The 25,749-nt window shown below is 42.0% G+C and overlaps 1 protein-coding gene across 15 annotated transcripts in view, besides 1 other annotated feature; it reads left to right on the top strand.

Annotated features, from left to right (window-relative positions):
• MAK (male germ cell associated kinase) overlaps window positions 1-25,749 on the top strand; it is a 75,817-nt gene that overhangs the window by 11,001 nt on the left and 39,067 nt on the right. For 14 of the 15 annotated variants that reach the window (XR_926215.4, NR_134935.2, NR_134936.2 and 11 more), the window contains 6 exons: window positions 8,599-8,653; window positions 9,568-9,689; window positions 13,816-13,895; window positions 18,597-18,729; window positions 23,648-23,819; window positions 25,480-25,647. Coding sequence is in view for 9 of the 15 variants with exons in the window: in XM_011514622.4 (XP_011512924.1) it covers window positions 8,599-8,653; window positions 9,568-9,689; window positions 13,816-13,895; window positions 18,597-18,729; window positions 23,648-23,819; window positions 25,480-25,647 (730 nt within the window). In the remaining 6 variants the exon portion in view is untranslated. Of the gene's footprint in view, window positions 1-8,598; window positions 8,654-9,567; window positions 9,690-13,815; window positions 13,896-18,596; window positions 18,730-23,647; window positions 23,820-25,479; window positions 25,648-25,749 lie in introns of those variants that run through there. The other variant, XM_011514624.3, reaches the window with a different exon arrangement.
• Window positions 12,899-13,084: a silencer, noted in NCBI's record as "fragment chr6:10814688-10814873 (GRCh37/hg19 assembly coordinates)". NCBI's record gives its function as "represses an EF-1alpha promoter that drives an FKBP-Casp9 reporter gene in an ReSE screen in HepG2 liver carcinoma cells {active_cell/tissue: HepG2}" and the evidence as "EXISTENCE:reporter gene assay evidence [ECO:0000049][PMID:32094911]".

Raw genomic sequence — 25,749 nt, 5'->3', positions numbered from 1 at the left:
GTTTGAAAACCCCAAATGCCTGCTAGCAGTCCTGCTGATTAGGATTGCATTGGGGATACTTACTACTGCTATAAGACAGAAACCTAAGAAATGAGTGTTATTAGACAAAATGAGCTGAAATAGCCCACATTTGTAGATTAAATGATTATGTAAATTCACACAAAGAAATACTTTATTATATACAAATACATCCATATACAAAAATATTTTTAAAGGCCTGGAAAGATACACCCAAAATCCATGATAGCCATGGGTTCTGGGGAGGAGGGTAGGCGAATCAGAAGGGGTGTTGGGTCTTGGGTACAGTCCCACAGATGGTTATTACTGTCTGGTTTTATATGACAAAATGTCCATCATTTTTTTCTGAGTGGCAAAAATATGGTATTTGTTTTATCCTTCAAAAATATGGTATTTGTTTTGTTTTGTTTTGAGATGGATTCTTGCTCTGTTGCCAGGCTGGAGTGCAGTGGCGCGATCTCAGCTCACCACAACCTCTGCCTCCTGGGTTCAAGCGATTCTTCTGCTTCAGCCTCCCGAGTAGCTGGGATTACAGGCATGTACCACCACGCCTGGCTAATTTTGCATTTTTAGTAGAGACGGGGTTTCTCCATGTTGGTCAGGCTGGTCTCGAACTCCCGACCTCAGGTGATCCACCAGTCTCAGCCTCCCAAAGTGCTGGGATTACAGGCGTGAGCCACCGTGCCCGGCCTACTGTACTCTTTTAATTGGGAAAGCAAAAGCTTTCTCACATCCCATCCAGAATGCATAGGGTTTCTTCTCGTTGATCAGAAGTGTACCACATGGCACCCCTAGCTGCAGGGAGGCTGGGAAACTGATTACTTAGCTGAGCATTTTATATTCCTGTGTAAAAGCTGACTCTGTGAATGAAGAGGTAGAGAAGGAGGGCTTTCAGCTACTCAGCTTACCGTGTGTCTGCCACATGCAGTATCTACTGTGTGTTGGGCAGTGCTCCACCTTAGGCAAAGATGGAGCAAAAATGAATGAGAAGAGGAGTCCCATGGAAGACTTGAAGAAAATTGAAAAATTCATTTAGCACAAAATTGTTAAACTCCTGTTGTATTTCATGATCGGGACAAAATAGATGTCTTACAATATACTCAGGAAGACCAACAGATTCAAGAAGTTACAACATCAAGTATGCTAAGTCCTATGATGGGGGAATATTGGGTCCTGTGGGAGCCTAGATAAGCCACACTGGAGAAGTATCACAAAAGTCTTCCCAAGTCATTGAGACCTCAAGAATGAGAGAAAATTATTTTTTTAAAAGGGGGGGTGGGGGGAAATGCTCCAGGGAGTAAGAAATAGTACGTATGAAGCCCTGGAGGCGAGAGAGAGTGTGTGAGGGCCTAACTGGGGCTGAGTAACTGAAAGAAGTGTAGGTGGCTGGAGCGTGGATTACGAGTGGGGCAGAGGAGGGACGTGAGGCTAGCAGGTGAAGTCGTGAAGCCAGATGAAGGAGCGTGTATATCTTGAAGACTAGAAGGTCATGAAGGATTTTCAGCAGAATTGTTGATGTGATCAAATTTTTGGAACTGGCTGATTAGCAGAAGAGTGGAGACGATTGAAGAGGTCAAGACTGGACACCAGGTGGCCAGTTAGAAGGTCAATACAGTCATCTTGGTTAGAGGTTAGAAGGTCAGTGCAGTCATGTTGGTTAGAAGTGGTGGTGGCCTGACAGGAAAATAGCTTTGGGGATGGATGTAAGTGGATACAGTCAAGGGACATGTAGGAAGCAGGCTCTATAGAAACTGGTGACTGGGCATGAGGGTGGAGGGAGGAGTAAAAAATGGGGAAGAGTCCAGGCTAACTCCTGGGATTCTGGCTTAAATGTATAGTGGTGGTGCCATGTACCATGTACCATGTCAAGGAGGGGAAAATCACAGGCTTAGGGGTAAAGCTGAATTCAGTCTGGGGCATGATGACTTTTAGTCAATTGAATATTTGCATTTAAATCTCAAAACAGAGGTGCAGGCTAATGATTTGGAATGGTTAGTCTACAGATGGCAATTGAAACTCTTTAGAGGGAGAAGAAAAGAGGTCCTCATTTAGGGCACCGAGAAACCATGGCATATAAAGGATGGGCCCTGGAATAGGATCTTACAAAAAAGTCTGAGGAGCCACCAGAGAAATAGGGTAGAAACCAGGAGAATGTAGAAAATATCTGAAACCAAGGGAAAGATCTAAAGAAGCAGAAGCACGTATCAAGAAGTCTGGAGTGTGATGATTCCAGAGCTCTTTCAATGGCTCAACATTGTACCCAAGAAATTCAGATGTTTTCTATGATTTTCATGCTGAGCGGTTAGCATTGTTTTTGTCCTCAAATGTGTCACCTAATGACCACCTTATGGCTACTTCACCTCCAGGCATTACGTCCATGTTCAAGGAGGGAAGAGGGCAGAATAATACGAGCAAACTCTTCTCATCTTTTATCAGCTAGTGATAATTCTTCCCCAGAAGTCCTCAAGGACATCCCCTTACATCTTACTGGCTAGTATTGGGTCACGTGGTCTCTCTTCCAAAGGAGGCTGAGAGAGTGAGTATTTACTCTTCCAGTCTCTATATTAGGAGGCAGAAGGAAAGGGGCTGGAAATGGCCTTGTGATATTTCAACAATATCATCGGCTGTGGTGTTCCTTGGGTTTGGGGAATATGACATAACTGGCGGCCACGGTGAGCACTGTTCCAGTGGAATAGTGGAAGCCAGACTGCAGTGGGACAAGGAGTAGCGGGAAGTACGGCAGTGGAGGCATGGAGCTTTGGAGAGTTGTGAAGGATGAGTTACTGAGTTGTTAAGAAAGCCACAAAGGGGTTGCCCAGTGTCAGGAAGAGTCCGCCTGAAATTACATGGACGAATGTGAAAGTGGAGCCGCTGGGAGCATTTTCATGACTTTGCTTTCCACCTCCACCCATCTGTATGGAGAGGGGAGACTGGAGGATGACAAGGCAGGAGAGGGGAGACTGGAGGATGACAAGGCAGGAGCAGTGGAACGGTGGGAGAAGGGGATGTTCAGAACGTGTGTGTGATCTTGAGAGTGTAGTGGGTGAAAGGCTGATGGTGGGGCCAAGCTGGATGAGGAGGCAAACCACGCCACACAGGTGGTTGTAGGAATAGCCACAAGTTGAACAAGAAAGAGGTTGTATAAAGAAGTTTTGAGGGTAGCGACGGTGAAAAGGATAGGAGGTTATGATCAAGAGTCTGAAGTTAGGTTGTTAGGTCTTGGACAGTAGGACCATTCCTCATAACAAGGAGTTTATGGTAACTGTGGTAAGACAGAGGTGAACATCTCTTAGGAGTTAAGCAACTGTGAAGCCAGGCTACTGGCAGGGTTATCAGTTTAACCTACATTGAATATTCACTATAGCCGTTACTCCTCAAGTCTGAATGAGACAGTGATTGTTATCTACAAGAGTCATACAAGCAGGCTTTGCCATCTCTTTAAAGCCCGATATAGAGGGATAAACTTTACCTGAAAATTACAGATATTAGAGTCTTCATTCTCCCTTCTCATTTTTTTTTTTTGTTTGTTACCAAAACAATTCACATCCCATAATATCCTATCAATCTTTTGCTTGGTGATATAAAATTTTAGGCATTTCCAATTTAGGCTATAAATATTCTAGGTATAACTTGTTAGATACCGCTTTAAGATCCATCGATACTTTTCCCCTAAAATTAAAAATAAATTCCAGGCCGGGTGTGGTGGCTGATGCCTGTAATCCCAGCACTTTGGGAGGCCAAGTGGGGTGGATCACCTGAGGTCAGGAGTTTGAGACCAGCCTGGCCAACAAGGTGAAATCCCATCTCTACTAAAAATACAAAAATTAGCCGGGTGTGGTCGTGTGTGCCTGTAATCCCAGCAACTCAGGAGGCTGAAGCAGGAGAATCACTTGAACCCAGGAGGCGGAGGTTGCAGTGAGCTGAGATCACACCACTGCATTCCAGCCCAGGCAACAGAGTGAGACTCTGTCTCTAAATAAATAAATAAATACGTTCTACATTGAATACATTTTGTGGAGTAGCTGAAGAAGAGCTGCCTATTCTTAATTTTCAGAGTGGGCAGTAAACATGTCCCCTTAAAGGGAAATTGATTACCTGGAAGGTGTTTTCATTCTAAAAACCTTTTAAACAAAAGAGCCGGTGTCGGGGGCTGGGAGTGGGGGTTTCTATTGGAATTAGAGAAGTTCAGCTATGGAATTTAACAAGTTCCATGTGTTATTAGATATGGAATTTAACAAGTTCCATATGGAATTTAACAAGTAGGAAGTAAACAAGTTCAGAATTACGTTGAGAAGCAGAGAAGAAGCTGAATGCTGGCCCTCTGCTTTTGGGAGTTGGCCTGAAGAAGCAAGGGCATGGCATGGCAGTTGGTAGATGATGGACAGGGTGGTGTAATCTGCTAATGTAAACATGGAGAAGAAAGTCTGTGCTTAATTCAGCAGGCAAACCTTTTGAGCGGTCTAGAAATGCAGTCAAAACTGGCTAGGATGTGTTGGAGGGGGAATGGTTAGAAGTTGGGAGAACACTACACTGAACAAAATAAGAGGTTTCTTTGAATGTTTCCTTTGGGGAGTTTTAATTTAGATCACTGAAATCTTGTCTTTTCTGCAATTTTTTTTAAAAAAAGTTATTTACTTTATGATAGAGGATGGTAGAAAGATTCCCTCACTTAATTAAGTTAATAAATATCTATTAAGCCCTCTGCCCTTTAAGAACTTGAGAGGTAGTTCTATTTCTGAAGTTGATTTCCTGTGTCAGATGGGAACACCATGGTACCATCTCTTATTTGTTCATTGCCCTGGCATGGAGTGGATATTGACGAATTAATAAATGACAAAAGATGGCAAGGAACCTAAAAGGAAATGCCTTTTCTTAGCTATTCTAAGCAATTGGTTTACCTTTGGGATAATCATTTTGTAAGGAAACTTCTGTATTTGTTGTAAATAGATACATGCATTGCCTTAGGGAAGGGAAGTACTGCTGAGAAGTGGTAATTGCTGGAAAGAAGAAGAGATGAAGAGAGTACATCTGGATGGATGAAGAGAATACAGATTTTTTTTTTTTTTGAGACGGAGTTTTGCTCTTGTTGCTCAGGCTGGAGTGCAATGGCGCGATCTCGGCTCACTGCAACTTCTGCCTCCCAGGTTCAAGCGATTCTCCTGCCTCCGTCTCCCAAGTAGCTGGGATTATAGGCATGCGCCACCATGCCCAGCTCATTTTTGTATTTTTAGTAGAGACGGGGTTTCTCCATGTTGGTTAGACTGGTCTTGAACTCCTGGCCGCAGGTGATCCACCTGCCTCAGCTTCTGAAAGTGCTGCGATTACAGGTGTGAGCCACCGCACCCGGCCAGCTTTTTTTTTTTTTTTTTTTTTTGAGACGGAGTCTCGCTCTGTTGCCCAGGCTGGAGTGCAGTGGTGCGATCTCAGCTCACTGCAAGCTCTGCCTCCCGAGTTCACGCCATTCTCCTGCCTCAGCCTCCCAAGTAGCTGGGACTACAGGCGCCCGCCACCACGCCTGGCTAATTTTTTGTATTTTCAGTAGAGATGGGGTTTCACCCTGTTACCCAGGAGGGTCTCCATCTCCTGACCTCGTGATCCGCCCGCCTTGGCCTCCCAAAGTGCTGGGATTACAGGTGTGAGCCACCGTGCCCGGCCTCAGATTTTTTTTTTTTTAAGAGACAAAGTCTCCCTGTGTTGCCCAGGCTGGAGTGCAGTGGCTATTCACAGGCTCGGTTATAGCACACTACAGCCTCTAACTTTTGAGCTCAAGCAGTCCGCCTGCCTCAGCCTCCAGAGTAGCTGGGACTACAGGCGCACACCAGCATGCCAGTGAGAGTGCAGATTTTACAGGTAGAATGAAAGTTTCAGTTATCACTGAAGCTTGAAAAGTAACTTGAACGTATTTTTATTTGGCTTCTAAAAGATTGGATACTTTTAAAATTCTAGACCTGGAGTGGTGGCTCATGCCTGTAATCCCAGCACTTTGGGAGGCTGAGGTGGGCGGATTACCTGAGGTCAGGAATTCGAGACCAGCCTGGCCAACATGGCAAAACCGCATCTGTACTAAAAATACAAAAATTAGTCGAGCTTGGTGGCACACACCTGTCATCCCAGCTACTTGGGAGGCTGAGGTAGGAGAATCGCTTGAACCTGGGAGACAGAGGTAACAGTGAGCCGAGATCACGCCATTGCAGTCCAGCCTGGGTGACAGAGCGAGGCTCCATCTCAAAAATGAAATAAAATTCTGAAATTACGTTTCAAGAATCATAGCAGGCTGGGTGTGGTGGCTCATGCCTGTAATCCCAGCACTTTGAGAGGCCGAGGTGGGCAGATTGCTTGAGCCCAGGAGTTTGAGACTAGCATGAGCAACATGGTGAAACCCCATCTCTACAAAAAATACAAGAAGTTGCTGGGCGTGGTGGCATGTACCTATAGTCCCAGCTACCCAGGAGGCAGAGGTGGGAGGATCACCTGAGCCCAGGAGGTCAAGGCTACAGTGAGCCATGATCAGGCCACTGCACTCCAGTCTGGGTGACAGAATGAGACCATGTCTCAAAAAAAATAAAATAAATAAAAAGAATCATAGCAGATTATATGTGCAGTTTCACATGGATATGATCATTTTATTAATCAACTTTTCTTTCATAGCTGTATTTGAATTGGCTTCTGTTTTATTTTAAATTCATCATTGTGCTAGATTTACATTTTACATTTTAGCAAGACATTTTATAAATCTATGGCACTGAAAAGTATCTTTTAATAAGCTAGTAAACCCCCATTTCATCACGCTTCTTCATAAATATCTAGTACCTGAGTAACTGCAAATGAAATTCTGATTCACTAAGGATATTTTAGAAATAATAGCAGTGATGCCCTTGAGGTCATCTCAGTGATGTCCTTTATTTCGTCTTATAGTCAATCATAGATATTGGTAAACATGAAAACATCTAGTAGTTATTGAGTGCTGAACTAAGCAGTTTGCAAGATGCTTTTCTTATGCAGTAGTTTCTACTGTATGGCTAGCTAAGGAATTTGAGGCACAGACAGGTCATTAGGTGACTTGTCCAAAGTCATATGGTGAGTGACTGGGCAAGGATTTGAATCCAGGCAGTGCGGTTCCACAGCCTCTGTTCTTGGCTGTGATGTTGTGCTGCCAATTTTTACTCATTTCCTCACCTGTGTATTATACCCCCATAGAGCCTCTGGATCTTAAGGATTATTGTAATTAATAAAGACAACGCTAAGCTTCCCAAGGATCTTCTGGAACATCTCGATAGGAGATTATAATACTAAATGAAAGCAGCATGGCATATTTGGTTTTTCTTTTTCACAGCCCAGCCTTATAATTCCCATGCCTGAAGAAACATTTTTTAGAATATGAATCCTGTTTTTTTTAAATTTTTTTTTTTGAGACAGAGTCTCACTCTGCCACCCAGGCTGGAGTGCAGTGGCGCGATCTCGGCTCACTGCAAGCTCCACCTCCCGGGTTCACGCCCTTCTCCTGCCTCAGCCACCCAAGTAGCTGGGACTACAGGTGCCCGCCACCACGCCTGGCTAATTTTTTGTATTTTTAGTAGAGATGAGGTTTCACTGTGTTAGCGAGGATGGTCTCGATCTCCTGACCTCATGATCCACCCGCCTCCGCCTCCCAAAGTGCTGGGCTTACAGGTGTGAGCCACCGCGCCCGGCCATGAATCCTGTTTATTATCCCCTGTTTTGTATGGTGACTAAAAATCTGTTCATATAAAAACACATGTTCATATAAAAACAACAACTAACTGGTGTATATAGTGGAAATAGTTTTTACTCTTAAATACACTTTTGGTATATTTATCTCTAATAGAAACCAACATTGGGATGAAAGAGGGGAAGTAAAGAACAAAATTCAAGAAAGCCATTTCTCATCTGTCGCCCAGGCTGGAGTGCAGTGGCGCAATCTTGGCTCACTACAACCTCTGCCTCCTGGGTTCAAGTGATTCTCCTGCCTCAGCCTCCCAAGTAGCTGGGACTACAGGCGCCTGCCACCACGCCCAGCTAATTGTTTTGTATTTTTAGTAGAGACGGGGTTTCACCATGTTAGCCAGGATGGTCTTGAACTCCTGACCTTGTGATCCGCCCACCTCAACCTCCCAAAGTGCTGGGATTACAGGCGTGAGCCACCGTTCCCGGCCAAGAAAGCCATTTCTAACGTTTGTAGTTACTTCTGAATTTTTGCCAACTTAAATCATTTAAGTAGGGAGACATTTAACTTTATGGGCCTCTTAAGTTCTAAAAAGAGAGAATCTTGAAAAGGACCCTTTAAGAAAGGCACAATTAAACTGATTAGAGAAATGTTAAGAACTCACCCAGAAAAGAAGATTAATGGTAATTTTTTCACTTTTGATTAAAGCTGAATTTTGGATGTGACGTAGGCCTACCAAGTAGCCTTGAGGTATAGGAGGTGATTTCCTTATAAGGATGAGGACAGAGAAAGATAGCTCGCCCAAAGTGAACCAGTAGTGGAGTAAGAAAGCCAACAGTGTAATGTGTGTCTTTGAATCCTCAATCCCTGAACACTAAACTTTCCCTAATTTATTTTAGGATGAAGAGAAAGTTCTATTCTTGGGATGAATGCATGAACTTGAGAGAAGTTAAGGTAAAATCCTAAAGATGAAAAGAACCTGAGAAGGCCTTAACACTACCTGAGGACCGTAGTTAAGATGATTTTATTCTCTGTGGGAAGCATTCTGAAGATAATTTTGTTTGTTTTTCCTTTATATTCCTAAATTAATTTCTCATTTCTTCTGGTTCTGATGTCAGTGGAGAACAGCGTATAATTATATCCTCACATTTGAAAATTCACTTTCACTTTTAAAAGAGCATCTTAAAATCATATTATGCAAAGACAACTTTTTTTTTTTTTTTTTTGTGACAGAGTCTTACTCTGTCACCCAGGCTGGAGTGCAGTGGTGTGATCTCAGCTCACTGCAACCTCCACCTCCTGGGTTCAAGTGATTCTCCTGCTTCAGCTTCCCGAGTAGCTGGGACTACAGGTGTGTGTCACCATGCCCAGCTAATTTTTGTATTTTTAGTAGAGACAAGGTTTCACCATGTTGGCCAGGCTGGTCTGCAACTCCTGACCTCAGGTGATCTGCCCGCCTCAGCCTCCCAAAGTGCTGGGATAGCAGGCAAGAGCCACCACGCTCAGCCACCAAAGACAACTTTTTAAATTACTACATACCATTTCCTTAGATTTTATGCTTAAAGACTTGGATACAATTTTGGATACCTTTGCATGGTTAAGTCAGACAAAAGTTAGACCTATTTATAAACCAAGGGAAAAACGTAACAGATTGAAATGTTTAATAGCTATTGTTGGCTTGATTTATTGTTTGCACTTAACGTTCATTACTTAAAGCAATTATGTAGATATTAAAATGTAATTAATTAATGAACCCAGGAGAAATGGAAAATTACATAAGGTAATTATTACACTTAGCATTGATGCAATTTTGCCAAATTCTGTAAGTTTTTTTTAAGAAATTTTAAGGCATATTTGTTATTTTTCAGTCTCTGAAGAAACTTAATCATGCCAATGTTATTAAATTGAAAGAAGTTATCAGAGAAAATGACCATCTTTATTTTATATTTGAATATATGAAAGAAAACCTCTATCAATTAATGAAAGACAGGTATGTTTTTATTCATGTTTTTCCCTGTTATTCTCTCCATGAGTTCTTTGGATCCTTTTGATATGTCATACTTTATGAGAGAAAGATTGATTGCTCCAAAAGGTAAATTTAAATTAACCAGTTCTGTTACCTTTATCAAAGGGTAACATTTAACACTGAAGAACCAGCTGTGACATAGCCAGCATTTTTCTGTTGTAAATCCTTGAAAGTGAAGGCCAGTATCTCATATAAATACACATACTATCTATTTATGCTTTTTAAAATACAAATTTATGTATAGTTTATTACTCAATAATAAAGCTGGCCTTGGGCATTATTGAGAAAATTATCTTGGTTGCTCTCCCAAGCATCTTGTGAAGGTTAATGAAAGAATGGAGAAAGGAATGAAGTTGCTTTCAAGAAAGGATCTAAAAAGCTCAGTCATTAGAATGCACAAGTCAGTGATAAGACTTGATGTGTTACCAATCCCAAGGAAATTCACAATTTTTAAATATGTGTGGGCAGAATCTGTAAAGGGAGAGCTTTGGTCTTCCGCCCTGGGCTTGGGGAGATAATGTTTTGGTGGTGGTTCTGGTCATGTCTGGGAGATTAACATCCATTTTGCCTGCTTTTAAAGTGAGAAATGTTCAACAACAAACTCTGAAATACTTAGAAATAATTTTCCGAAGTAATGATGTTGATTTCTCTTTGATTCTTACACACACACACACACACACACACTCTCGCTCAAGGTCTGAGGATGTTACTTGAATTATTCTTTAATCATATTTTTCCCTTTCTCAAAACATATTTATTGAATGCCTCTTATGTTCCAGGCCGAAATCATCATAACATTAATGTCAATTAAAATAAAAGTAAATTTCTGCCCCTCAAATCAGTTTTTACTTTTTCAGAGTCCCTTCTAGGCCTTCTATATAGACATGCACGCCTTTTTACTTAGTTGTAATTTTAGTGGGACAAAGTTTTTTATTTGATTAATTTACTTACAAGTATTTTTTATGTGGATACTTAGTCTTTATAGTTATAAATAATATATTCTGTTAAATGGCTATACTAAGCTTCACTTTTTGAACTATTTAAAATAAATAATTAGTGTGAAAATAGGTTGGTAATTATTGTATATAATATTGATGGAATTATTACCATTAAAGGTGATAATTATAAGGGTTATGAAAACGCTTGTAAGTGAAAAAACAAACCAAATTGTGTGTATGTGACTTTCATTCCTAATATAAAAGTTATGTATGCAGATGGATTAGGACTGGATTAGAATACTGAAAAATTAAAAGTTTCTTAATCAGGTGGTGGGATTATGGGTAATCTTAATTTTCAGCCTCTAATAAATTTTGTCCTTTAAAATATTGAAATGATATATACTTACATGAAATATCAAGATACCCTTGTTGAAGAAAAAAATGAAATACATGTAAATTCATGAAATATTAAATTTTCATCTATTTTTGAAATATATATAAATCTGGATGGATGTGGTAGTTCCTGCCTTTAATCCAGTACTTTGCGAGGCTGAGGTGGGAGGATCACTTGAGCCCAGGAATTTGAGACCAGCCTAGGCAACATAGTGAGACTCCATCTCTACAAAAAAATTAAAAAATTAGCCAGGTGTGGTGGCACACACCTGTAGTCCTAGCTACTTGGAGGCTGAGGTGAGAAGATTGCTTGAGCCCAGGAGGTTGAGGCCACCCATAATCCCAGCCACTCGGGAAGGTAAGACAGAAGAATTGCTTGAACCCAGGAGGCCAGCTAATTTTTGTATTTTTAGTAGAGACAGGGTTTCACTGCGTTGGCCAGGAGGGAGAGGTTGCAGTGAGCCAAGATTGCACCACTGCACTGCAGCCTGGGCAACAGAAGAAGACTCCATCTCAAACAAAAAAGAAAACATACATATATATATATATATATATATATATATATATATACTGTATAAAGCTACACTAATACAGTACCCATTAGTCAGATGTGGCTATTGAAGTCCTGAAATGTTTGCATTGAAGAGTGTTGTAAATGTAAAATAAATTGCACATCAGATTTTGAAAACTTGTTACAAAACAAATTTATTAATAATTTTTACTCCAAGCTTGATGGCTCATGCTTGTAATCTCAGCACTTTGAGAGGCCAAGGCGGGAGGATTGCTTGAGCCCCAGGAGTTTGAGACCAGCCTAGGCAACATAGCGAGACCATGTGTCTCTCTTTTTTTTCAGAGACAGGGTCTTGCTCTTTCACCTTGGCTGGAGGGCCAGAGTGCAGTGGTGCAAACATGGCTCACTGTAGCCTCGACCTCTTGGGCTCCAGCAATTCCCCTGCCTCGGTGCCCCAAGTAGCTGGGACTGCAGGCACGTGCCACCATGCCTGGCTAATTTTTGTATTTTTAGTAGAGACAGGGTCTCACCATGTTTCCCAGGCTGGTCTTGAACTCCTGAACTCAAGGGATCCACCTGCCTTGGCCTCCCAGAGTGCTGGGATTACAGGGGGGAGCCACCGCACCCAGCCCGCATCTCTTTTTCAAAAAATAAAAATTAAAAAGGTAAAATTTTAAAAATAAATAATTAAAAAAACATTGTTTTAGAGGCATAGTCTTGCTGTGTCACCCAAGCTGGAGTACAGTGGTACAGTCAGCTCATTTTTATACTGATTACATGTTGAAATAATATTTGGCATATATTAGGTTAAATTAAATATATTGTTAAAAATTAATTTTACCTGTTTGATTTATTTTAACATGGCTGCTAGAAAAATGATGTTAAGTACACAAGTGGCTCTCATATATATTTCTTTCTTTATTTTTTTTTTTTTTGAGATGGAGTCTCGCTCTTTCACCCAGGCTGGAGTGAAGTGGTGTAATCTCAGCTCACTGCAACCTCCACCCTCCGGGTTCAAGCGATTTTTCTGCCTCAGCCTCCTGAGTAGCTGGGATTACAGGCATGTGCCATCACGCCAGCTAATTTTTGTATTTGTAGTAGAGATGAGGTTTCACCATGTTGGCGAGGCTGCTCTCGAACTCCTGACCTCCACCCACCTTGGCCTCCCAAAGTGCTGGGATTACAGGCATGAGCCACCATGCCCAGCCGGCTCTTATATTTCTACTGGACAACACCAATATGCAGAATAGAACTGAAGCATTTATTTATATCTCTAAATTTATTTCCCCCCCGCTTTTTTTTTTGGAGGCAGGATCTCACTCTGTCACCAGGCTGGAGTGGAGTGGCACAGTCACAGCTCACTGCAGCCTCGAATTCCCAGGCTCAAGTGATCCTCCCACCTCAGCCTCTCCAGCAGCTGGACTACAGGCATGCGCTACCACACCTGGCTAATTTTTGTATTTTTTGTAGACACAAGGTTTCACCATGTTGCCCAGGCTGGTCTTGAACTCTTGGGCTTAAGCGATCCTCCCACCTTGGCCTCCCAAAGTGCTGGTATTATAGGCATTAGCCACCACATCCGGCCATCTCTCAAATTCTTCAAGCCTGCATAATACAGATTTGCATGCTTGGCTTATCTGTTAGTAATTCAGTTTTTCAACTTGCTTTGCTCTTCTTGGGACAGTTTAAAATTTAGCTATTTAGGCCAGGTGCAGTGGCTCATGCCCGTAATCCCAGCACTTTGGGAGGCCGAGGTGGGCAGATCGCCTGAGGTCAGGAGTTCAAGACCAGCCTGACCAACATGGCGAAACCCTGTCTCTACTAAAAATACAAAATTAGCCAGGCATCGTGGTGCATGCCTATAATCCCAGCTACTTGGGAGGCTGAAGCAGGAGAATCACTTGAACCCGGGAGGTGGAGGTTTCAGTGAGCCGAGATTGCGCCACTGCACTCCAGCCTGTGCAACAAAGAGTGAAACTCTGTCTCAAAAGAAAAAAAAAAATTAGCTATTTAATATGTGTGCAATATATTCAGTTTTGGATTTGAGTTTTTACCTCACATCAAAACAAAAAAAAATCTAATTTTCATGTTTTAAATGTGTGAGCTTTAAGAGTATAAATCTATAAATCATAGGTTTAACCAGTATCGTGAGGCCAGTAGAGGCTCCAAGGCAGGGGGAATATAAACCTTCTTTGGATTGGTTGGCTGGTTGCTTAACAGAATTATGTGACTGTTCATTTCTTTACAGAAACAAGTTGTTCCCTGAATCAGTCATCAGAAATATTATGTATCAAATATTGCAAGGGCTGGCTTTTATCCATAAACATGGTAGGTTTCTTTTAAGTTTAATTTCCCTACCTCTTTAGATTACTGTCCAGATTGTGCATACAAATTTATTAAACTGTTAAATAACTGTTATATTGGATAACTATGAATCTGGAGTATGTGCCTATACACACTGACATTTTTATTTAAAAACTTTATCAATTTCTGTGATTCTGTATAAAATGGAATTTCTGGCTGGCACGGTGGCTCACGTGTGTAATCTCAGCACTTTGGGAGGCCAAGGCAGGCGGATCACCTGAGGTCAAACGAGTTTGAGACCAGCCTGGCCAACATGGTGAAACCCTGTCTCTGTTAAAAAAAAATACAAAAATTAGCTGGGCGTGGTGGCGGGCGCCTGTAATCCCAGCTACTCAGGAGGTTGAGGCAGGAGAATTGCTTGAACCCCAGAGGTGGAGGTTGCAGTGAGCTGAGATCATGCCATTGCACTCCAGCCTGGGCAACAGAGTGAGACTCCATCTCAAAAAAAAAAAAAAAAAAAAAAAAAAAAAATTTATATATATATATATATATATATATATATATATATATATATATATATAAAAATACATAACATACATACATACCAGGCCGGACTCACACCTGTAATCCCAGCACTTTGGGAGGCCGAGGCGGGGGGGGGGATCACCTTAGGTCAGGAGTTCGAGACCAGCCTGGCCAACATGGTGAAACCCCATCTCTACTAAAAATGTAAAAAATTAGCCAGGCTTGGTGGCGCGCGCCTATAATCCCAGCTACTTGAGAGTCTGAGGCAGGAGAATCGCTTGAACGCAGGAGGCAGAGATTGCAGTGAGCTGATATTGTGGCATTGCACTCCAGCCTAGGCAAAAAGAACGAAGCTCCATCTCAAAAAATAAAAAAATAGAATTTCTATAATCTATAATTATCTTCCACCACAGCAGAATTTTTTAACAGTTTAATCATCATCAGCCTTTAGTCTCAGTCATCATATACCCATCTTGCAACCTCATTCTCCCTAATTTTATCGTGGAAATGAAAAAAAAAGGACCTTCTTTTGGAAAAGATTAGATTATTTTGATCTAGCATGACCAATTATTAACACTTAAATAGTTTGTAGCACCCACGGAGCAGTGTTTTATAGTTTTCCTTAGTTTTTACATTTAGTTGTTTCTATTCTGTGAATGAAATTAAAGCAAGTATTAATACTTGATCTATTTTCTATGAATTATGTACTTCAATTAATGTAGTTTTTCATATCTATCAAATCAAAATAATTATTAGTCCAAAAAGTTAATATGATTATTTTTTAAAAACATTTGTTTAGAATCACTAGATGTTTAGATACTAAATTAGAAAAGTTTGTCCCATACCATTGCTGTGTTCTGAACATAGGCACTGGAAAATCACCATTAGTTTCCCTTCATGTCTCATCCTGTATTTTATTTTATTGCTATTATTATTATTATTTGAGACAGGATCTCACTCTGATGCCCAGGCTGGAGTGCAGTGGTGCCATCATGGCTCACTGCAGCCTCCACTTCCTGGGCTCAGGTGATCCTCCCACCTCAGCCTCCCTAGTAGCTGGGACTACAGGCGCACGCTTCCACACCCAGCTAATTTTTTTCTTTTTTGTAGAGATGAGGTTTCGCCATTTTTCCCAGGCTGGTCTTGAACTCCTGGACTCAAGTGATCCTCCAACCTCAGCCTCCGGAAGTGCTGGGATTACAGGCAGGAGCCATCACACCCATCCTCCTCCTGTAGTTTATATTTTGTTTTTTTTATTTTCTTAACTGCTACAGGAATTATTTGCCTTCCAAAAATGCTATGCAGGATTCCATATAAATATTTTAAGAACACTTCTTAAACTTATAAAAAGGGTATGTTTAGAATGTTTTAAGAACATTAAAAAAAAACTTTTTATTTGCACCATATGTAAACTATTGGGGTCTTTTAAAAGTCTAAATCCTGTAATGATATACTACACTTTATTGGCAAACAGCAGTAATGTATTAATTATATGGAAATAAGGGACATCTGCTATTTTAATTATTCATAATGGATTCCTGATTTTTAATTGTTTTAAACTCTGGTCAGCATGGTAACACTTGACATTTGCCTGGGTTGATTTATGCTGTCAGCAACGTCTGAAGCATAAGGGATTGAAGGAGGAAGTTCGATTACGATTTAAAAATTGTGACTGAAAGAAATAACATGAATAATCAACAGTTGACTGTAGAGTTGGCTACATAGTAATTTGGGAAACCAGCCTATAAGGATGATTAGACGTTTTTACGAAAGCCACATAATTCTTGCTGCTAAGCATCTCAGATGTAATACTTCAAGAAATAGATATTTTAAAATAGTTGTTTGGCCGGGCGTGGTGGCTCACGCCTGCAATCCCAGCACTTTGGGAGGCCAAGGCAGGCGGATCACTTGAGGTGAGGAGTTCAAGAGCAGCCTGGCCAACGTGGTGAAAACCTATCTCTACCAAAAATACAAAAATTAGCTGGGTATCATGGCACATGCCTGTAATCCCAGCTACTTGGGACGCTGAGGCAGGAGAATTGCTTGAACCCGGGAGGCGGAGATTACAGTGAGCTGAGATCATGCCACTGCACTCCAGCCTGGGTGACAGAGCAAGACTCTGTCTCAAAAAATAAATAAATAAAATAAAATAGTTGCTGTCAAAAAAATGAAAATATTTAGTTCAAATAGGACTGAATTATTAATATATGTATATTAGGATGGGGAAAACCTCAGCTGTACAAATATGTAATTGGTTTAGTTCTCTAAGACTTTATGGATTAGTGTCACTCTGCTGTGCATCACATGGTCCCATTCCTGTCGTTACATTACAAAAGTATCTGAATGTCTCTTGGACATAGTGAAATGGATGTTACTTACTATTTAGAGTAAGAAGTACTGGATAAACTCAGATTACAAAACTGTTAAACAGATGTCACAAACAGAGCCCACTCTGGCTTTGAAGTGATTAAAAACATTTAGGCTTAAAAAGGCTTCCCAACCCCAGCTGGCCGTGGTGGCTCACACCTGTAATCCCAGCACTTTGGGAGGGTGAAGCAGGTGGATCACAAGGTCAGAAGTTTGAGACCACCCTGGCCAACATGGCAAAATCCAGTTTCTACTAAAAATACAAACAATTAGCCGAGTGTGGTGGCAGACGCCTGTAATCCCAGCTATTCCAGAGGCTGAGGCAGGAGAATCGCTTGAACCCAGGAGGCGGAGGTTGCAATGAGCCCAGATTGCGCCACTACACTCCAGAGCAAGACTCCGTCTCAAAACAAAAAAAAAAAAAAAAAAAGAAAAAGATAAAAGAAAGTCTTCCCAGCTCCAAAGCTACATGAAAACCCTCTTCAAGTGATCACCTGCAGTCTCCCTGCCTCCCAAGGCCTTTGGAACCCAAGCCATTTGGATATAACCAGAATGCTGTAGACTGCCCTTAGAAAAAGCCTCCCTTAAGACAAATCTCATCTGCCAGGAGGGCTTTAATGTTTGTTCTTTTCCCCCTGGGTTTTCTTTTTCTTTTCTTTCTTTTTTTTTTTTTTTTTTGAGACAGTGTCTTGCTCTGTTGCCCAGGCTGGAGTGCGGTGGCATGATCTCAGCTCACTGCAACCTCCGCCTCCCAGGTTCAAGTGATTCTTCTGCCTCAGCCTCCTGAGTAGCTGGGACTACAGGCGCACACCACCATGCCCGGCTAATTTTGGTATTTTTAGTATAGACGGGGTTTCATCATATTGGCCAGGCTGGTCTCAAACTCCTGACCTCATGATCCACCTACCTCGGCCTCCCAAAGTGCTGGGATTATAGGCGTGAGCCACCACGCCTGGCCCCCACTGGGCTTTCTGCCTCATTTTCTTTGGTTTCCCTTTTAGCTTCATAACCATTTATTTTATAGATTGAATTGCTAATATAAACATTATAATTATTGGGATTTTGCAACGACACAGCTATTGAGGAAAACTGAACATTAGATAAAATAATTTTAAATGAAGAAATTAGTTCTGATGTGTGGAGTTCCATTTTTATTGAATGGACTTTTTAAACAAGTGATTTTTCTCAAGAAGTCAGCTGCACTGACTCAAGCCTGATTAAAAAGTGCTCTTCTCAGCCTGGGTGACGTGGCAAAACCCTGTCTCTATCAAAAATACCAAAAATTAGGTGGGAGTGGTGGCATGCACCTGTGGTCCCAGCTACTTAGTGGGCCGAGAGGATTGCTTGAGCCGAGATCGAGCCACTACGCTCTGGCCTGGACAACAGAGCAAGACCTATCTTAAAAACAAAAACACTTCTCACACGTTAATTAGGTGACTTCACTCTGGCCCTCAACCTCCTCCTCTATTGCACAATAGTGATAACAGTACCTCCTTCAGGTTGTTGTGCAAATGAATGGAGATAATCATAGTGTGGTAATACCTAGCCCAGTGCCTGAACACCCACTGGAGTCACAAATAAAAATAAATGTTAAATGGGTGGTTATTTTTAATTATCTCATACACTGTGTGAACTTTCTTGCCAAAGCATTTTAAAAGCAGGGTCCCTACGCCCCATTTACTTCTTAGACAATAAATATGGTTTACTTTTTTCCTAAGATGATGTTTTGAATTATAAAAGAGGGGGTTCATTTATATTTTGTTTATAAATCAAATAAAGCTATGTTTAAACGTAATGATTTACTGTATTTTTTTTTCTCCGTATATCATCAAGGCTTTTTTCATAGGGACATGAAACCAGAAAACTTGCTTTGTATGGGTCCAGAGCTTGTGAAAATTGCTGATTTTGGACTTGCAAGAGAATTAAGGTCACAGCCACCATACACTGATTATGTATCTACCAGATGGTGAGTAGGGGTTATGCAGCCCTCCTGAGGCATAAGCCTATGGTGAAATTTTCCTACGATGGATTGTTACATATTTCTGGAAGTTCCATATTGAATATTTAAAACACAGAATTGAATTTTATATTCTTTAAAGAAAGCGAAGGATTGGTTTATTGCTATTCTGATCACTGAAAAAAAAAGGAAAAAGAATTTCATTTATTCACTCATTCATTCATTCAACAAATATTTATTGAACACCTACTATGTGCCAAACATCATTTTAGGCACAGAGAACACAGCAGTGAAATAAAAAAAGAAAAGAAAAATCTCTGCCTTATGCTGCTTACATGACAGCCAATAGACAGATAAACAAGTTAAAAATATTATGGATCACCAACAGAAAGACATACACGTGTTCACCAGAAGACATGAATCCTCTCTACTGCACGCCACCCAAACGTCCATGAACAGTAGCATCGTATACTCACCCAGTGGAATGCTTTGCAACAATGAGAACGAAGGGTCTATGACTGCATGCAGCAATGTGGACGAATCTTAGACAATGTTGAGATCAAGAGCCCAAAGAGAAAAAGAGCACATACCATATGATTTCATTTATGCAAAGTACAAAAAAAGAGAAAACTAATCTGTGCCATGAAAGTCAGGATAGCAAGCAGTTCTATGGGGTGGGGATGTGTGTAGTGCCTGGACTAGTGCACAAGGGGCCTTCTGGGTGCTGATAGCATGTCTTTCTTTTTTTTTTGAGATGGAGTTTCGCTCTCTCGCCCAGGCTGGAGTGCAATGGCGTGATCTCGGCTCACTGCAACCTCTGCCTCCCGGTTTCAAGTGATTCTCCTGCCTCAGCCTCCCGAGTAGCTGGGATTACAGGCACCCATCACCATGCCCAGCTAATTTTTGTATTTTTAGTAGAGACGTGGTTTCACCGTGTTAGCCAGGCTGGTCTCAAATTCCTGACCTCCGGTGATCCTCCCACCTTGGCCTCCTATGCATAGTGCTGGGATTACAGGCGTGAGCCACCGGGCCCGGCCGATAACATGTCTTTCTTGATCTGGGTGCTGGGTCTGTGGATGTGTTGTATTTGTGAAAATTCATCAAGCTCTACTCTTACAACACATGCCTCTGCCTGTGTGAATATTATACTCCAGTGAAAACAAGAACATATGTGTATCAGGCTGGGCATGGTGGCTCACGCCTGTAATCCCAGCACTTTGGGAGGCCGAGGTGGGGGATCACTTGAGACCAGGAGTTCGAGACCAGCCTGGCCAACATGGCTAAACCCCGTTTCTACTAAAAATACAAAATTAGCCGGGTGTGGTGTCACGCGCCTTGGTGCCAGTTACTTGGGAGGCTGAGGCATGAGAATCACTTGAACCTTGGGGGCAGAGGTTGCAGTGAGCCGAGATTGCGCCACTGAACTCCAGCCTGGGCAACAGAGCAAGACTCTTTCTCAAAAAAAAAAAAAAAAAAAAAAAAGGAATATATGTGTATCAGATGTTGATACATTATTATAAAGAAAAATAAAATAGGAAAGGGGGCAGGGAGTTGGGGGAGATGGGGAGAGAAAGGAATGTTACATGGAGGGTCTGACTGAGAGTAGCCCTGATGGAGATGCCAGGGCCAGCAGGATTTTTTTTAGGCAGAGTAAAAGCCTTGAGACAGGTGCACGCCACACGTGAATTCTGCACAGTGCAGAATGAATAAGGAGGGCAGTCGTAGGAAACAAGGGCAGAGTTTGTAGAGTGGCCAGAAATGATAGTGACTTGGACCTGCTGGCCATGCAGGTAGTGAGAAATGTGGGATTCTAATGAATCAGATGTGGGGGCTGAAAGAAAGGAGTCCGTGTCTTAGTGTGTTTTTTTGTGTTGCTGTAAAGGAACACCTGCGGCTGGGAAGTTGGTAAAGAAAGGAGGTTTATTTGGCTTCCAGTTCTGCAGGCTGTACAAGAAGCATGGCACTGGCATCCGCTTGGCTTCTGATGTGGGTTTTTATGCTGCATCAAAACATGGTGGAGAAGGTCAGGCCGGGCGTGGTGGCTCACACCTGAATCCCAGCACTGTGGGAGGCCAGGACGGGTGGATCACCTGAGGTCAGGAGTTCGAGACCAGCCTGGCCAACGTGGTGAAACCCAGTCTCTACTAAAAATACAAAAATTAGGCCGGGCACAGTGGCTCACGCCTGTAATCCCAGCACTTTGGGAATCCGAGGCAGGTGGATCACGAGGTCAGGAAATCAAGACCATTTTGGCTAACACAGTGAAACCCCGTCTCTACTAAATATACAAAAAAAAAAAAAAAAAAAAAAAAATTAGACGGGTGTGGTGGCGGGCACCTGTAGTCCCAGCTAGTCCCAGCTACTTGGGAGGCTGAGGCAGGAGAATGGCGTTAACCTGGGAGGCGGAGCTTGCAGTGAGCGAAGATCGCGCCACTGCACTCCAGCCTGGGTGACAGAGCAAGACTCTGTCTCAAAAACAAAAAAAATTAGCCAGGCATGGTGGCACATACTTGTAACTTGGGAGGCTGAGGCAGGAGAATCACTTGAACCCGGGAGGTGGAGGTTGCAGTGACCCGAGATCGCGCCATTGCACTCCAGCCTGGGCAACAAGAGCAAAACTCCGTCTCAAAAAAAAAAAAAAGAAAAGATGGCGGGGTGAAGGTCAAAGGGGAAATGGGCACGTGCGAGAAGGGAACAAACAAGAGGAGGAAGCTTGCCGTGGAGCAACCCACTCTCTCAGGAACTAATTTCATCTTGCCTGAAAAAGAACTCATTCACTACGTGAGAACAGCACCAGGCCTTTCATGAGGGATCCGCCCTGGTTACCTGCGAATGTGACCTTATTTTGAAATAGGGTCTTTGCAAATGTAATCAGATTAAGATGAGGTCAGACCACAGCCTGGCTGGTCTTAATCCAGTAAGACTGATGTCCTTATAAAAAGAAGGCAGACAGAGAGATGGAAGAGGGAAGACACGTGAAGGCACCTTGGGAGAAAGCAGTGTGATGTACACTTTAAATGGATCAACTGTATATTATGTGAATTATATATCAATAAAGCTTGTAAAAATATTCGTCAAAGTATAGTAAGTTCTCACTTAACATCATCAGTAGGTTCTTGGAAAGTTTCACTTTAAGTGAAACAACATATGATGAAACCAATTCGACCATAGGCTAATTAAAGTAAACAATTTTATGGCACGTTTCTGGTCACAAAAACATCACCAAACTTCTTTTTTTTTTTTTTTTCCTGTCACCCAGGCTGTAGTGCAGTGGCACGATCTCGGCTCACTGCAACCTCTGCCTCCCGGATTCAAGTGATTCTCCTGCCTCAGCCTCTCGAGTAGCTGAGCTTACAGACGCCCACCACTACACCCAGCTAAGTTTTTGTATTTTTAGTAGAGACGGGGTTTCACCATGTTGGCCAGGCCGGTCTCGAACTCCTGACCTCATGATTCACCCGCCTTGGTCTCCCAAAGTGCTGCAATTACAGGTGTGAGCCACTGTGCCTGGCCACCAAACTTCTAAATAGTGACCAAAACACTAATATTGAACATTGAAATACATGTAAGCTATACATACATTTGAGAAACATTAATAAAAACAAGGAAGATAATTATTCGCCAAGTTATTCTAGTTCAGGGTCACAGGTGGCAACAGCGTGTCCTGGAAGCTGGGGGTGCAAGGTGAGCACCAACCATGGACGGGACAGCCTCCCATGGCAGCACGCCCCCTCCCCACCCCCCCCCCGACACACACATGCACACACTCATCCTGGGGCCACACAGGCACCCCAGTTCACCTGACATGCACATATCTAGGATATGGGAGGAAGCTGGAGTCCTGGAGAAAACTTGTAGACTTGGGGAGAATGTGCAAACCCCACACATTGGCCCAGCCAGAAATGCCTTTCTTTTTTTTTCTTTCTCATCAACATTACAATGAAACAACATTGAGCAAAAACAACAGTGAACAAAACTAGTTTATTTGAGGGCTTGCAGTATTCTCAATGAAAGCAAAAAGACAGTATGCCAAACATTTGGACTGAAATATTTACACATTTTGGTTGGAAAAAAAGAGAATTGAGAGTGTCTTCCATTTAGCAGACTTTGTGTTGGACTCACCAGCTCACTTTGCTCTTGTAAATTGAGTATTTTTCTCAATTAAAAATATTGTTAGGCTGGGTGCAGTGGCTCATGCCTGTAATCTCAGCACTTCGGGAGGCTAAGGCAGGCTGATCACCTGAGGTCAGGAGTTCGAGACCAGCCTGGCCAACATGGGGAAACCCCGTCTCTACTAAAAATACAAAAATTAGCTGGGCATGGTGGTGTGCCCCTGTAATCCCCGCTGCTCGGGAGGCTGAGGCAGGATAATCACTTGAACCCAAGAGGCGGAGGTTGCAGTGAGCCGGGACCGCGCCATTGCACTCCAGCCTGGGCAACAAGAGCAAAACTCCACTCAATAAATATAGTTGACTACAGAAGAGGAGTCAGTTGAGGATATCAGTACTTTCAAACTGATAAAAAAAAACTCCACTACTCAGGATATAATCCTGTTCATCTTTTGTTTTCTGTGCTTCCTTGTGAATAGATGCTGAATATAATGCTTTGTAACATAGTTTTTCTACTTTTTTTCTTAATATATCAGATGGCACTTATTTCCATATCTATTCAGTTGAGTTCCTGTCTTAGGCTTGATGGACATTTCATAGACATTTGTCTCCAGCCCCACTCATTGTCTGTGATCAGGGAACATGTGTTGTGTCCTATTATCCCCAGAACATTGTACAAATGCCTGACACACAGATGGAACAGGGTCTGAATACCTGTTCCTTGATGGAAATGCATGACCACACAGCGTAGAATGCTACTGCCCATCCACCTTTGAAATTGCAATCAAAATTACCTCTTTTGTTCTCTATTTTCATAGGTATCGTGCCCCTGAAGTTTTACTGAGATCTTCAGTTTATAGTTCTCCCATTGATGTGTGGGCTGTTGGAAGTATCATGGCTGAACTCTATATGTTAAGGCCACTTTTCCCAGGGACAAGTGAGGTCGATGAAATCTTTAAAATTTGCCAAGTTTTAGGGACTCCCAAAAAAGTAAGTACTCTTGTCCCTAAGTTGCTATAACTTTTGATTATTTCTATCTTGCTACTTTGCTTTTAATTTTATAATTTTGATTATTTACAACTTTTGCCTAGATATCTGATATTTTCATTTTGAAATAGGCTCATACTTTAATGATTAATTTTCTTATAATTCTTTTTTTTTTTTTGAGATGGAGTCTTGCTCTGTTGCCCAGGTTGGAGTGCAGTGGCTCAATCTCAGCTCACTGCAACCTCCACCTCCCAGGTTTAAGCAATTCTCATGCCTCAGCCTCCCAAGTAGCTGGGATTACAGGTGTGCACCACCACGCCTGGTCAATTTTTCTATTGTTAGTAGAGAGGAGATTTCACCATGTTGGCCAGGCTGGTCTTGAACTCTTGAGCTCAAGCGATCTGCGATCTGCCCACCTCAGCCTCCCAAAGTGCTGGGATTACTTGGTGTGAGCCACCACGCCCGGCTGTAATCCTTATTTTTTTAATCGGAGTGGGTTAAGGATTGCAAGAAGCCAGAATCCCACCAGCTGAAGAAAAACAGGTGCTTGCCTTTCCTTAAGAACTTCAGGAAAAATTCTGTGTGTTTAGAGTGTAACTTGGGGGTGATGCCCAGCTGACACTGTACAGACAGCCTTGCTTGAGCTCTTTCCTGCTCATTCTGTGGCTGGCCATTGGCATCACCTGTTAACCCCTGGTGTCTTGAACCTTGTTTTTTCTTAACCGTTTCTTGTTTCCTTTTTTATATCTCCCCTGTGGATATTTGACTTCTTGAACTGAGTGCTTTTCAATTAACTATATTTCATCTACACCTTTCTTTCTGAAATGTGCTTTATAAGTGTGTATATAATGACATCCTAATTAAATTAGTAAGTGCCTTGTAGTTAACATTACACAAGTAAATGTAGATATTAAAGCTTTAATGTAATTGTCATTTCCCAGATATGTGCATTTTTAACATTGTATGCAATGGGTAATATACACGACAAGGATCTTTGTTCACAGTCAGCCTCTTTGTAAAGCACTTTTCCTTATTTGTTCAGAGTTAACCCAGGTATCATCACAGCAACATCACCATCAGGATCTAAAACCAGACAAGAGCTTAATATTGCAAAATTTATAAAGGCGGGCATGGTGGCTCATGCCTGTAGTCCCAGCACTTTGGGAAGCCCAGGCAGGAGGATCACTTGAGCCCAGGAGTTCAAGACCAGCCTGGGCAACATAGTGAAACCCCGTCTCCACAAAAAAAAATTAGCCAGGTGTGATGGTGCGCACCTGTAGTCCCAGCTACTCAGGAGTCTGAGGTAGGAGGATCTTTTGAGCCCGGGAGGGTGAGGCTGTAGTGAGCCATGATTGCTCCACTGCACTCCAACCTGGATAACAGAGCCAGATCCTGTCTCAAAAAAAACACAAAAAAACAAACAAAAAAAAGCTATAAAAGTGCTTTTCGCATTGTTTCCTAACTCTCAGCTTAATGTTCTTTCTATACTGTCGTAGCACTAAATTATAGACGTGGTCTGGTATTTCATTTTCATGTTTATATGGATCAACATGAAAATGTTCAAACATAAATGATGTTTATATTACTGCTGTGTTTTTTAAATGGATTACTAAAAACAATTTGTTTTGCCCTCCCCACCTGCACTTATATATTCCTGAAACAGAGTGACTGGCCAGAAGGATACCAGCTGGCATCCTCTATGAACTTCCGTTTTCCCCAGTGTGTTCCTATAAACTTAAAAACTCTTATTCCCAATGCCAGTAATGAAGCTATTCAGCTCATGACCGAAATGTTGAATTGGGATCCAAAGAAACGACCGACAGCAAGCCAGGTAAGAGGAGTCTTCCTGTTAGACCTTTAAAAATGTTTAGGTTTTGTAATATCAGGGATGTTTTCATTTACAAAGGCAGGTCTATTCTCAACCAGGATTTTA

This window comes from Homo sapiens, chromosome 6 (assembly GCF_000001405.40).
Source record: "Homo sapiens chromosome 6, GRCh38.p14 Primary Assembly".
In the NCBI taxonomy this organism is placed as follows: Eukaryota; Metazoa; Chordata; class Mammalia; order Primates; family Hominidae; genus Homo; species Homo sapiens.
Note: the sequence above shows the minus strand (reverse complement) of the source record. Positions and strands in the feature narration are given on the sequence as shown.